We start from the raw sequence: 12,813 nt of genomic DNA on the forward strand, positions 1-12,813 counted from the left end.
TTTTTCTTGTAAATTTGTTTGAGTTCATTGTAGATTCTGGATATTAGCCCTTTGTCAGATGAGTAGGTTGCGAAAATTTTCTCCCGTGTTGTAGGTTGCCTGTTCACTCTGATGGTAGTTTCTTTTGCTGTGCAGAAGCTCTTTAGTTTAATTAGATCCCATTTGTCAATTTTGGCTTTTGTTGCCATTGCTTTTGGTGTTTTGGACATGAAGTCCTTGCCCACGCCTATGTCCTGAATGGTAATGCCTAGGTTTTCTTCTAGGGTTTTTATGGTTTTAGGTCTAACGTTTAAATCTTTAATCCATCTTGAATTGATTTTTGTATAAGGTGTAAGGAAGGGATCCAGTTTCAGCTTTCTACATATGGCTAGCCAGTTTTCCCATCACCATTTATTAAATAGGGAATCCTTTCCCCATTGCTTGTTTTTCTCAGGTTTGTCAAAGATCAGATAGTTGTAGATATGCGGCATTATTTCTGAGGGCTCTGTTCTGTTCCATTGATCTATATCTCTGTTTTGGTACCAGTACCATGCTGTTTTGGTTACTGTAGCCTTGTAGTATAGTTTGAAGTCAGGTAGTGTGATGCCTCCAGCTTTGTTCTTTTGGCTTAGGATTGACTTGGCAATGCGGGCTCTTTTTTGGTTCCATATGAACTTTAAAGTAGTTTTTTCCAATTCTGTGAAGAAAGTCATTGGTAGCTTGATGGGGATGGCATTGAATCTGTAAATTACCTTGGGCAGTATGGCCATTTTCACGATATTGATTCTTCCTACCCATGAGCATGGAATGCTCTTCCATTTGTTTGTGTCCTCTTTTATTTCCTTGAGCAGTGGTTTGTAGTTCTCCTTGAAGAGGTCCTTCACATCCCTTGTAAGTTGGATTCCTAGGTATTTTATTCTCTTTGAAGCAATTGTGAATGGGAGTTCACCCATGATTTGGCTCTCTGTTTGTCTGTTGTTGGTGTATAAGAATGCTTGTGATTTTTGTACATTGATTTTGTATCCTGAGACTTTGCTGAAGTTGCTTATCAGCTTTAGGAGATTTTGGGCTGAGACGATGGGGTTTTCTAGATAAACAATCATGTCGTCTGCAAACAGGGACAATTTGACTTCCTCTTTTCCTAATTGAATCCCCTTTATTTCCTTCTCCTGCCTGATTGCCCTGGCCAGAACTTCCAACACTATGTTGAATAGGAGCGGTGAGAGAGGGCATCCCTGTCTTGTGCCAGTTTTCAAAGGGAATGCTTCCAGTTTTTGCCCATTCAGTATGATATTGGCTGTGGGTTTGTCATAGATAGCTCTTATTATTTTGAAATACGTCCCATCAATACCTAATTTATTGAGAGTTTTTAGCATGAAGGGTTGTTGAATTTTGTCAAAGGCTTTTTCTGCATCTATTGAGATAATCATGTGGTTTTTGTCTTTGGCTCTGTTTATATGCTGGATTACATTTATTGATTTGCGTATATTGAACCAGCCTTGCATCCCAGGGATGAAGCCCACTTGATCATGGTGGATAAGCTTTTTGATGTGCTGCTGGATTCGGTTTGCCAGTATTTTATTGAGGATTTTTGCATCAATGTTCATCAAGGATATTGGTCTAAAATTCTCTTTTTTGGTTGTGTCTCTGCCCGGCTTTGGTATCAGAATGATGCTGGCCTCATAAAATGAGTTAGGGAGGATTCCCTCTTTTTCTATTGATTGGAATAGTTTCAGAAGGAATGGTACCAGTTCCTCCTTGTACCTCTGGCAGAATTCGGCTGTGAATCCATCTGGTCCTGGACTCTTTTTGGTTGGTAAACTATTGATTATTGCCACAATTTCAGAGCCTGTTATTGGTCTATTCAGAGATTCAACTTCTTCTTGGTTTAGTCTTGGGAGAGTGTATGTGTTGAGGAATGTATCCATTTCTTCTAGATTTTCTAGTTTATTTGCGTAGAGGTGTTTGTAGTATTCTCTGATGGTCGTTTGTATTTCTGTGGGATCGGTGGTGATATCCCCTTTATCATTTTTTATTGTGTCTATTTGATTCTTCTCTCTTTTTTTCTTTATTAGTCTTGCTAGCGGTCTATCAATTTTGTTGATCCTTTCAAAAAACCAGCTCCTGGATTCATTGATTTTTTGAAGGGTTTTTTGTGTCTCTATTTCCTTCAGTTCTGCTCTGATTTTAGTTATTTCTTGCCTTCTGCTAGCTTTTGAATGTGTTTGCTCTTGCTTTTCTAGTTCTTTTAATTGTGATGTTAGGGTGTCAATTTTGGATCCTTCCTGCTTTCTCTTGTAGGCATTTAGTGCTATAAATTTCCCTCTACACACTGCTTTGAATGCGTCCCAGAGATTCTGGTATGTGGTGTCTTTGTTCTCGTTGGTTTCAAAGAACATCTTTATTTCTGCCTTCATTTCGTTATGTACCCAGTAGTCATTCAGGAGCAGGTTGTTCAGTTTCCATGTAGTTGAGCGGCTTTGAGTGAGATTCTTAATCCTGAGTTCTAGTTTGATTGCACTGTGGTCTGAGAGATAGTTTGTTATAATTTCTGTTCTTTTACATTTGCTGAGGAGAGCTTTACTTCCAACTATGTGGTCAATTTTGGAATAGGTGTGGTGTGGTGCTGAAAAAAATGTATATTCTGTTGATTTGGGGTGGAGAGTTCTGTAGATGTCTATTAGGTCTGCTTGGTGCAGAGCTGAGTTCAATTCCTGGGTATCCTTGTTGACTTTCTGTCTCGTTGATCTGTCTAATGTTGACAGTGGGGTGTTAAAGTCTCCCATTATTAATGTGTGGGAGTCTAAGTCTCTTTGTAGGTCACTGAGGACTTGCTTTATGAATCTGGGTGCTCCTGTATTGGGTGCATAAATATTTAGGATAGTTAGCTCCTCTTGTTGAATTGATCCCTTTACCATTATGTAATGGCCTTCTTTGTCTCTTTTGATCTTTGTTGGTTTAAAGTCTGTTTTATCCGAGACTAGGATTGCAACCCCTGCCTTTTTTTGTTTTCCATTGGCTTGGTAGATCTTCCTCCATCCTTTTATTTTGAGCCTATGTGTGTCTCTGCACATGAGATGGGTTTCCTGAATACAGCACACTGATGGGTCTTGACTCTTTATCCAACTTGCCAGTCTGTGTCTTTTAATTGCAGAATTTAGTCCATTTATATTTAAAGTTAATATTGTTATGTGTGAATTTGATCCTGTCATTATGATGTTAGCTGGTGATTTTGCTCATTAGTTGATGCAGTTTCTTCCTAGTCTCGATGGTCTTTACATTTTGGCATGATTTTGCAGCGGCTGGTACCGGTTGTTCCTTTCCATGTTTAGCGCTTCCTTCAGGAGCTCTTTTAGGGCAGGCCTGGTGGTGACAAAATCTCTCAGCATTTGCTTGTCTATAAAGTATTTTATTTCTCCTTCACTTATGAAGCTTAGTTTGGCTGGATATGAAATTCTGGGTTGAAAATTCTTTTCTTTAAGAATGTTGAATATTGGCCCCCACTCTCTTCTGGCTTCTAGGGTTTCTGCCGAGAGATCCACTGTTAGTCTGATGGGCTTTCCTTTGAGGGTAACCCGACCTTTCTCTCTGGCTGCCCTTAACATTTTTTCCTTCATTTCAACTTTGGTGAATCTGACAATTATGTGTCTTGGAGTTGCTCTTCTCGAGGAGTGTCTTTGTGGCGTTCTCTGTATTTCCTGAATCTGAACGTTGGCCTGCCTTGCTAGATTGGGGAAGTTCTCCTGGATAATATCCTGCAGAGTGTTTTCCAACTTGGTTCCATTCTCCATATCACTTTCAGGTACACCAATCAGACGTAGATTTGGTCTTTTCACATAGTCCCATATTTCTTGGAGGCTTTGCTCATTTCTTTTTATTCTTTTTTCTCTAAACTTCCCTTCTCGCTTCATTTCATTCATTTCATCTTCCATTGCTGATACCCTTTCTTCCAGTTGATTGCATCGGCTCCTGAGGCTTCTGCATTCTTCACGTAGTTCTCGAGCCTTGGTTTTCAGCTCCATCAGCTCCTTTAAGCACTTCTCTGTATTGGTTATTCTAGTTATACATTCTTCTAAATTTTTTTCAAAGTTTTCAACTTCTTTGCCTTTGGTTTGAATGTCCTCCCGTAGCTCAGAGTAATTTGATCGTCTGAAGCCTTCTTCTCTCAGCTCGTCAAAATCATTCTCCATCCAGCTTTGTTCTGTTGCTGGTGAGGAACTGCGTTCCTTTGGAGGAGGAGAGGCGCTCTGCGTTTTAGAGTTTCCAGTTTTTCTGTTCTGTTTTTTCCCCATCTTTGTGGTTTTATCTACTTTTGGTCTTTGATGATGGTGATGTACAGATGGGTTTTCGGTGTAGATGTCCTTTCTGGTTGTTAGTTTTCCTTCTAACAGACAGGACCCTCAGCTGCAGGTCTGTTGGAATACCCTGCCATGTGAGGTGTCAGTGTGCCCCTGCTGGGCGGTGCCTCCCAGTTAGGCTGCTCGGGGGTCAGGGGTCAGGGACCCACTTGAGGAGGCAGTCTGCCTGTTCTCAGATCTCCAGCTGCGTGCTGGGAGAACCACTGCTCTCTTCAAAGCTGTCAGACAGGGACATTTAAGTCTGCAGAGGTTACTGCTGTCTTTTTGTTTGTCTGTGCCCTGCCCCCAGAGGTGGAGCCTACAGAGGCAGGCAGGCCTCCTTGAGCTGTGGTGGGCTCCACCCAGTTCGAGCTTCCCGGCTGCTTTGTTTACCTAAGCAAGCCTGGGCAATGGCGGGCGCCCCTCCCCCAGCCTCGTTGCCGCCTTGCAGTTTGATCTCAGACTGCTGTGCTAGCAATCAGCGAGATTCCGTGGGCGTAGGACCCTCTGAGCCAGGTGTGGGATATAGTCTCGTGGTGCGCCGTTTCTTAAGCCGGTCTGAAAAGCGCAATATTCGGGTGGGAGTGACCCGATTTTCCAGGTGCGTCCGTCACCCCTTTCTTTGACTCGGAAAGGGAACTCCCTGACCCCTTGCGCTTCCCAGGTGAGGCAATGCCTCGCCCTGCTTCGGCTCGCGCACGGTGCGCACACACACTGGCCTGCACCCACTGTCTGGCACTCCCTAGTGAGATGAACCCGGTACCTCAGATGGAAATGCAGAAATCACCCGTCTTCTGCGTCGCTCACGCTGGGAGCTGTAGACCGGAGCTGTTCCTATTCGGCCATCTTGGCTCCTCCTCCCTTTTCTGACTCTTAAATTAGGGTATTGTGACATGATTCTGTGTCATAAAATACTTTTCTCTTCTGACATCTTCACTAAGGTTTATTTTTTTTCTTACCTTCTGTTTTCTTCTTGCTCCCTTTCTTCCTATTGTTCATTTCCTCCCATTTCAACTCTCCTTCCCTCCTCACTTCTCCTTTTCTGACATGGTGCAACTATTCAGAATCTATTATGTTAAGACATAATTCAACAGAAGTTTGTTTATCACTAAATTTTCCAATGAGATAACCTCCATAGCTATTTTGGGTTTAAAATATAAAAATGAAAAATGATTTTTATAGTTCCAACACACAATTTATCTAAGCAACTGAAGTTTTGGCAAAAAAAAATCAAGAGTTTTCATCATTAGAAATAATTTTATTATTTATTTTAAAGCAGTTCAATGTAACTGGTAGCAAAATGGTACAGACAATAAACAGAATCAATTCCCATTGGGCTACAAGGACTATTATTGACTTTATATTTTATTTTCATGTGCAAGTATAATTATTTTAAAAAGGCAACATTTCATTAAAAGTCTTTTATAAGCATGTTTTTATTCTTTAAATAACAGAAAGACTAATAAATTATCATTATTGTAGCAAGCTGGTATGAACTGTGTCAAATATTAAATTTGGACTAATGTTCATAGTCAAAAATAATTATTTTAAAATTTATGAAACAAAATTTTTAGTTATATAGGAAATATAATCATATCCTAGCTTAAAATCCTAGTCTCAACAACTGTCATAATGCAAAAATACCAAACTTCAGATCTTGTGGGGAAATAAAAGATTTGTAAAATCTTACATTTATTCCTAAAAATAATGAAGTAAAAAAAGTCAACTTAAAGAAACATCATACTTGACTCTTGATATGCAAATATAAAACAAGTTCATAAAATTTATTGTTTTTCTCTGTTACATATATTAGTTCCATTCTGCCTTCAGTTTTTAACAATTTATATGTGAATGTGTGTGTCAAATATATTTCACGTTTATAACATATACACATATATGCATACAATCTTTAAGTTTTAAGGCATGCTCCCAATTTTAGCTAACCTGTTATAAATTCTACTTCTCTGATCAAAGTAGATTAAATACAGGGTCTCTGTTTTAGGGGTAATTCTTGGTGTTCTTGTTATTCTAAAATGTGAATAATGTAAAATACCAAAAAGAAAAAAAGACATTTCATAGCCTCCAAGCCAAATTATACAATGACTATAATCTTTGATTTCACATTGCACTTTACAGTTTTATTTCTGTAGAATTATTGAGAGTACATTAGAATATCTTTTCTTTAAAAATTTTATTATCCTTTAAGTTGATCTGCTTCATTATGAAAAGAAAGGAAAAAAAGTCCCTTTCTAGTTTTATATGTATTTTTTGTTGTTGCTGAATTAAACTCAATGTCAAATTCAAAAATTAAAAAATACAAAATTAGAACAGTATGTATTTAAATTTACCAATGTTTCTTTTACAGGAACATTTTAACACACTTCTACTACCTGGTAAACTATGTACGCATACTCTTGTGCTCTTTTGATCTATTTCTCTAGGGGGAAAATGCAATACAGGTAAAAAATGAAAAACTGGATATCATCAATGGTCAATTTATATTTAAATTTATAACTCAAATTCTGCATGATTTGCATTAATGTTAAAAGCCAAGAACTACCTATTTTTGTTTTATGCTTTTCTCTCATAATGTTAAAGTATAGCTCATATATACGATTTCAAAATTAAGTCAAAAATTTTAATACATCCTTCATTGAGTGTTATTGTTTCATTACCAAAGACATAAGGACTTTTAATGTTTTGAAGTGTCTTCAGAGTCCATAAAAGGTATAAATTATCTTCTGTCAATTTTAAAAGAATTTTTCTAGTGAAATTTACTATATAGATATATGAATAGGAAAGATGGTAAAGTTCAAGAGTCTAAGGACAATCATTACTGTATATTTCAAGATATCCAGTTAATTTTTCAATCCTTGAATTAAATTTAAGTCAACAAATGTGTATTAAGTATTTTCTCTATGCTAGGCATTCGTTTAGGAGAATAATAGATATTTGCTTTATAGTATGCTTTTCTTGGCATAAAATATTTGCTAGACATAAAGTTACCAAAAAGTGCAGGAACCTAGTGTTTCTTTTCATTTATGTTTTAGTTTCTTCAATGTAATAAAACATGCTATGAACATCTCAAATTCTAAGATAAATATTTTTATATCGTAAGGCAGAAAAAAAAGTTAAAATGACTTAAAGATTTGTATTCTAAAGCAAACTATGATTCTTACACAAAAGTCAGCCACACAAGTTTGTTGGTTAATCTCTATGTGAGAAGACTAGACATTTACGATGAGCTCAATTTTGTAAAACAGTAAGTTTAAAGAATATAATATGACACATTTAATTTTTAAGAGGAGCAGCAGCATTCTGTGTCCATTGTGATGCACCAAATATAGTTAGATTTTGTCAACTTCATAAAACCTTAATAATTTTTAAAATTGCTTTCATAGAGTTTGGATTATTATAAAACAATTAAATGTCAGATTTAAATTTTTGTATTTTAATTTAGCTTTTCAAATTTATTCCATTGAGGTCCTTCAAATATTAATAGGGAGAGTACCAGTAAGTAGTACATTAAGTTTCAAAATGATCTATACTTCTAAGAGAAGAGATTACGTTTTTAAATATGAGAGAATTACATATATTTCCATCTAGTTTCTTTCGTGCCAGCAAAACTTTTGTGGTTTCAAGCAAGGTCTTTGTAGGAAAAAAGTTTCTCATTTTATTTTTATCAAAGTTGAGTTTCCTCCCGAGAATCTTGACCAGTGACATTGCAGATGCTGTTTCTTCGACTGGGCTCACTGTTTGGAAGGTAGGCCAGTGGATCTGGTCGAATTAAGTATCTAATAAAAGAAAACAAAATAAATAACTTTGCAATAGTAAATACAGGCAACATTAATTCACACTGACACTTCATATTTCTAATTTATTTGTTCAGTTTTCAGATTATCTAAACTGTCTGTATACAACATTGGTGGTAGAACTCACTGTTTGGTTGGCCTTTACAATTTGGCATGGTTAATATTATCATTTTCATACCTGAGAAGATTATGATGATGAATGCTGATGAATCAAGCACTATTATTTTTCTTCTTCATCTTTTTCCCTGTGCATGTTGACTGTCAGTCACCATTATTTTTCAATTATAATCAATTTCAGCACCTTCGTCTCATCAAAGTTTTATGATTAAGTATGCTGTTGACTTATTATCCCTTACTTTGGCCATTTTTCTATGAAGGAGACCTACATTTTAGCCATCATTCTTCCATTACTTAACTGTTCTTTGTCTTATTTTTATCACTTAAAAAATTAGGAGATTGATGTAAGCAATTTCTATAGTCTTTTCAATTTAAATATTTTATGAATCTATAAAATCAACAGTTTAACAAATGTTATAGTGAATATAATGCATAACGTTTAAATTAGCAGGAAAATTATTTATCTAAAATTCAGCTTATGGTATAGTAAGTGATAATACTAAAGTATAGAGAATAATTCTTAATTAATTCTGCTAGTAAATAGAAAAATGTTTATCTGCCAAACTCAAACATTTCATTAATGTGAGAATTTGTTTTCAGAGAGTTGTCTTACTTTAGACTGTCAAATGATGTACAGGCATGCCTTTTTTATTGCTTTTGACTTGATTGCACTTTGCCAATATTGAATTATTTATAAATGGAAGGTTTGTGGCAACCCTGAATCAAGCAAGTCCGTTGGAGACATTTTTTCCAGCATGTGCTCACTTAGGGTCTCTGTGTCAGATTTGGTAACTTGAACTTTTTCCATTGTAATTATATCTGTTATAGTGATCTGTGATCAGTAATTTTTGATGTTCCTATTGTAATTGTTTTGGGATACCACTATCCGCACCCATATAAGAAGGCAATTTTAACCAATAAAATATGTGTGTTCTGATCACTCCACCAACTGGCTATTCCCTCGACTCTTTTCCCTCTCCTCCACCATCTGTATTCCCCAAGACACAAAAACATTAAAGTTAGATTAGTTAATAACCCAAAAATGACTTGTAATTGTTTAAGTGAAAGGAAGAGTATCATGTCTCTCACTTTAAATCAAAAGCTAGAAATGATTATGCTTAGTGAGGAAGGAACATCAAAAGCTTACATAAGTTGGAAGTTAGGTCTTTTGTGCCAGTTAGCCAAGTTGTGAATGCAAAGGAAAAGTTCCTAAGGAAATTAAAAGTGCTACTCCAGTGAATACACAACTGATAAGAAAAGGAAACAGCCTTATTGCTGAGATGGCAAAAGTATGAGTGGTCTGGAAAAAAGATCAAACCAGCTACAACATTCCCTTAATCCAAAGCCAAATCCAGAGCAATGCTCTACCTCTTTTCAATTCTCTGAAAGGTGAGGGAAGTGAAGAAGCTATGGAAGAGGTTAGCTATGGAAGAGGAAGCTAGCAGAGGTTAGCTCATGAAGCTTAAGGAAATGAGTCCCCTCCATAACATAAACGTGCAAGATGAAGTAGATAGTGCTAATGCAGAAGCTACAGCAAGTTATCAAAAAAATCAAACTATTAATAAGATTATTGATGAAGGTGGCTAAATTAAACAACAGATTTTCAATTTGGAAGACAGCCTTCTATTGGAAAAAGTTGCCATCTAGTACTTAAGTAGCTAGAGAGGAGAAGACAAAGCCTAGTTTCAAAGCTTCAGTGACAAGCTGACTCTCTTGGTAGGGGCTAATGCATTCGGTGACTTTCAGTTGAAGCCAATACTCATTTACCATTCTGGAAATCCTAGGACACTTAAGAATTCTGCTAAATCTGCTCTGCCTATGCTCCAGAAATGGAAAAACAAAGCCTGACTGGCAGCAAATCTGTTTAAAGCATAGTTTACTGAAAATGTTAGGCCCATTGTTGAGACTTAACACTTAAAAAAAAGACTTCAAAATATCACTGCCCCTTGATAAGGCACCTGGTCACCCAAGAGCTCTGATGGAGATGTACAATGAGATTAGTATTGTATCATTCTTGCTAACACAACATCTATTCTGCAGCCCATGGATCAAAGAGTAATTTCAATGTTCATGATTCGTGGGATGAGGTAGAAATATCAACATTAACAGAAGTTTGGAAGAAGTTGACTCCAACCCTTATCGATGACTTTGAGGGGATCAAGACTTCAATGGAGGAAGTAACTGCAGTTGTGGTAGAAATAGCAAGATAACTAGAATTAGAAGTGGAGCCCAAAGATGTGACTCAACTGCTGCAATCTCTGACCAAAATTTGAATGAATGAGGAGTTGCTTCTTATTTATCATCAAATAAATTGGTTTCTTGAGATGAAATCTACTCCTGGTGAAGATGCTATGAACATTGTTGAAATGACTGTAAAGAATTTATATTATTACATAAACTTAGTTGACAAAGTAGCAGCAGGGTTTGAAAGGATTGACTCCAGTTTCAAAAGAAGTTCCACTTCGGGTAAAATGCTATCAAAGGGTATTACATGCTACAGATAAATATTGCATGAAAGAAAGAGTCAATCAATGCAGCATACTACTTCATTGTTGTCTGATTTTAAGAAATTGCCACACCCCTCCAACCTTCAGTAACCACTACCCCAATCTGTCAGCAGCCATCAACATTGAGGCAAGACTCTCTACCGGCAAAAAAAGATTATGACTCCCTGAAGGCTCAGATGACTGCTAGCATTTTTTTTTTAGCAATAAACTGTTTTTTAATTAAGTAAATTTTTAGACATAATGCTTTGCTTTTGCACACTTAGTAGACTAAAGTATAATGCAAACATAAATTTTGTATGCACCGGGAAACCAAAAAATTCAAGTGACTGGCTTGATTGCAATATTCACTCTATTGTGGTAGTCTGGAACCAATCCTGCAAAATCTCTGAGGTATGCCTGAGTATCTTTAGTGACTGCTTCTTGAGCACCTGTAGGAAACTGTGCTAACACCTTAGAATTAAAACAAAATCACAAAACATGACTCCTGTCCGGCAGAAGATTAAAGTAAAATTTATGAAGCAGATATAATGGAAGAAAAAAAAAGAAATTCCAAACATCATACAAAGTGAAAAAGAACAACAGAGAGAATTAGGAACTGCTTTATTGTGGGGTTGGGTTGAACTTGCCTCTCCAGGCTTCAGAGAAGATTTAGGAGGAAGGAACAGGAGGTGATCCCAAATGTTGTCAATGGAGACCACAGAGGATGGATGTTTCTGATGTGCTTAGAAATGATTTGACTTTAGAAAACTAGTAAATCATGGTAGGTAAAGTCAAAAACAAAGGTAGGAAACAGGTAATGAATGACCTTAAGTTTCAGAATAAGTAGTTTCAATTTGTGTTTTAAAGGCAGTAGGAAGCCACTAAGGGTTTGAAAAGGAGAGAAGAAAATAAATATATGCAACACAGCATTCTAAGAAAGTCATGTTCCAAGTCCAAATGAAAGAAGTATTTAATACTTCTATAATATTTTTAAGAGGCAGTATATAAAATGAACAGGAAAACTAATTAAAAAGTGAGAACGCTAATAAAGTTTGCACTTTTGTCTTAAAGACTGAAGGGAAAAATTCACAAAATATACTCCTTAATGAAAATGAGAAAAGGCAATCAAAAACACTGAGTCTATTTTCTTTGACCAAATAAAAGTTGAGACTAGTGTTCTTGGACCTATTAACTGGATTTTGTCATCTATGCACACTGCTTTATAGTTACTTTAAATATCAATAGCATTGTGGATTGATGAAGAAAACTAATAGTGCACATTACACTTTTTAATACCATATCATCTAGTGATTTATTATTGTTCGCATCAAATTAATGTTGCTTCTTCATTTAAAACAAACTTCCGAAAGTGAATTTTTAGAAAAACATAAAAGATAACAGTATAATCCATTATTCTCTGCATTCATTGATGCAGTAGCAAAAGTTCCTTTTCCTATTATTGTCACTACAAAACCTATGAGTCCAATAAAGCAAATTTCTTAAACTGTGTTTTTATATATTACATGTCATGGTAGGCATCTTTCAAATGATAATTTATCATTGTTCTGGTTCCACTGAAATTTAATTATCTCAATGCCACAAATACAGATCACTGCAATGGTGTAAGAAAAGCTTTTTTATTTTTTTAATAGCAGTCAAGTTGATGTTTTAGCTTAAAACTAATAAAAAATAAGAGTATCTAAAAGACAGAAAATTCTCTAAAAATATGTCTACTTTACCTGTCCACATTGTGACATACATATTTTATTCATAAGTAAAAAGATTAAACATCATTTGAAATCAAGAACATAAATATTTGACAAAATGACATGTTCTTAGTCTCAAAAGGGTGACAACATTTTCTTTGAACATTCTGTCAAAAATAATTATGGGAAATGATTGTATTAAGCTTAAGAAACATAATTTATTATAAAATACAAATAAGGTAAGCATAATTTTTTAAATTCTATATAATTAACACAATTATATTTATTTGAAAAAAGGTATAAGAAGGCTGGAATTAATATGGGTAGATTAGATATTTAATAAAAATTATCTATACTTATGGACTTAAAAGAAAAA

At 35.7% G+C, this 12,813-nt stretch overlaps 1 protein-coding gene across 9 annotated transcripts in view; it reads right to left on the minus strand.

The window, feature by feature from the left end:
• Positions 1 to 5,553: 5,553 nt before the first annotated feature.
• The window catches only part of KCNT2 (potassium sodium-activated channel subfamily T member 2), a 382,662-nt gene continuing 375,402 nt past the window's right edge, over positions 5,554 to 12,813 (minus strand). For all 9 annotated transcript variants that reach the window (NR_146057.2, NR_146058.2, NM_001287820.3 and 6 more), the window contains one exon: positions 5,554 to 8,110. Coding sequence is in view for 7 of the 9 variants with exons in the window: in NM_001287820.3 (NP_001274749.1) it covers positions 7,999 to 8,110 (112 nt within the window). In the remaining 2 variants the exon portion in view is untranslated. The remainder of the gene's footprint in view (positions 8,111 to 12,813) is intronic.

Source organism: Homo sapiens, chromosome 1 (assembly GCF_000001405.40).
Source record: "Homo sapiens chromosome 1, GRCh38.p14 Primary Assembly".
NCBI lineage: Eukaryota > Metazoa > Chordata > Mammalia > Primates > Hominidae > Homo > Homo sapiens.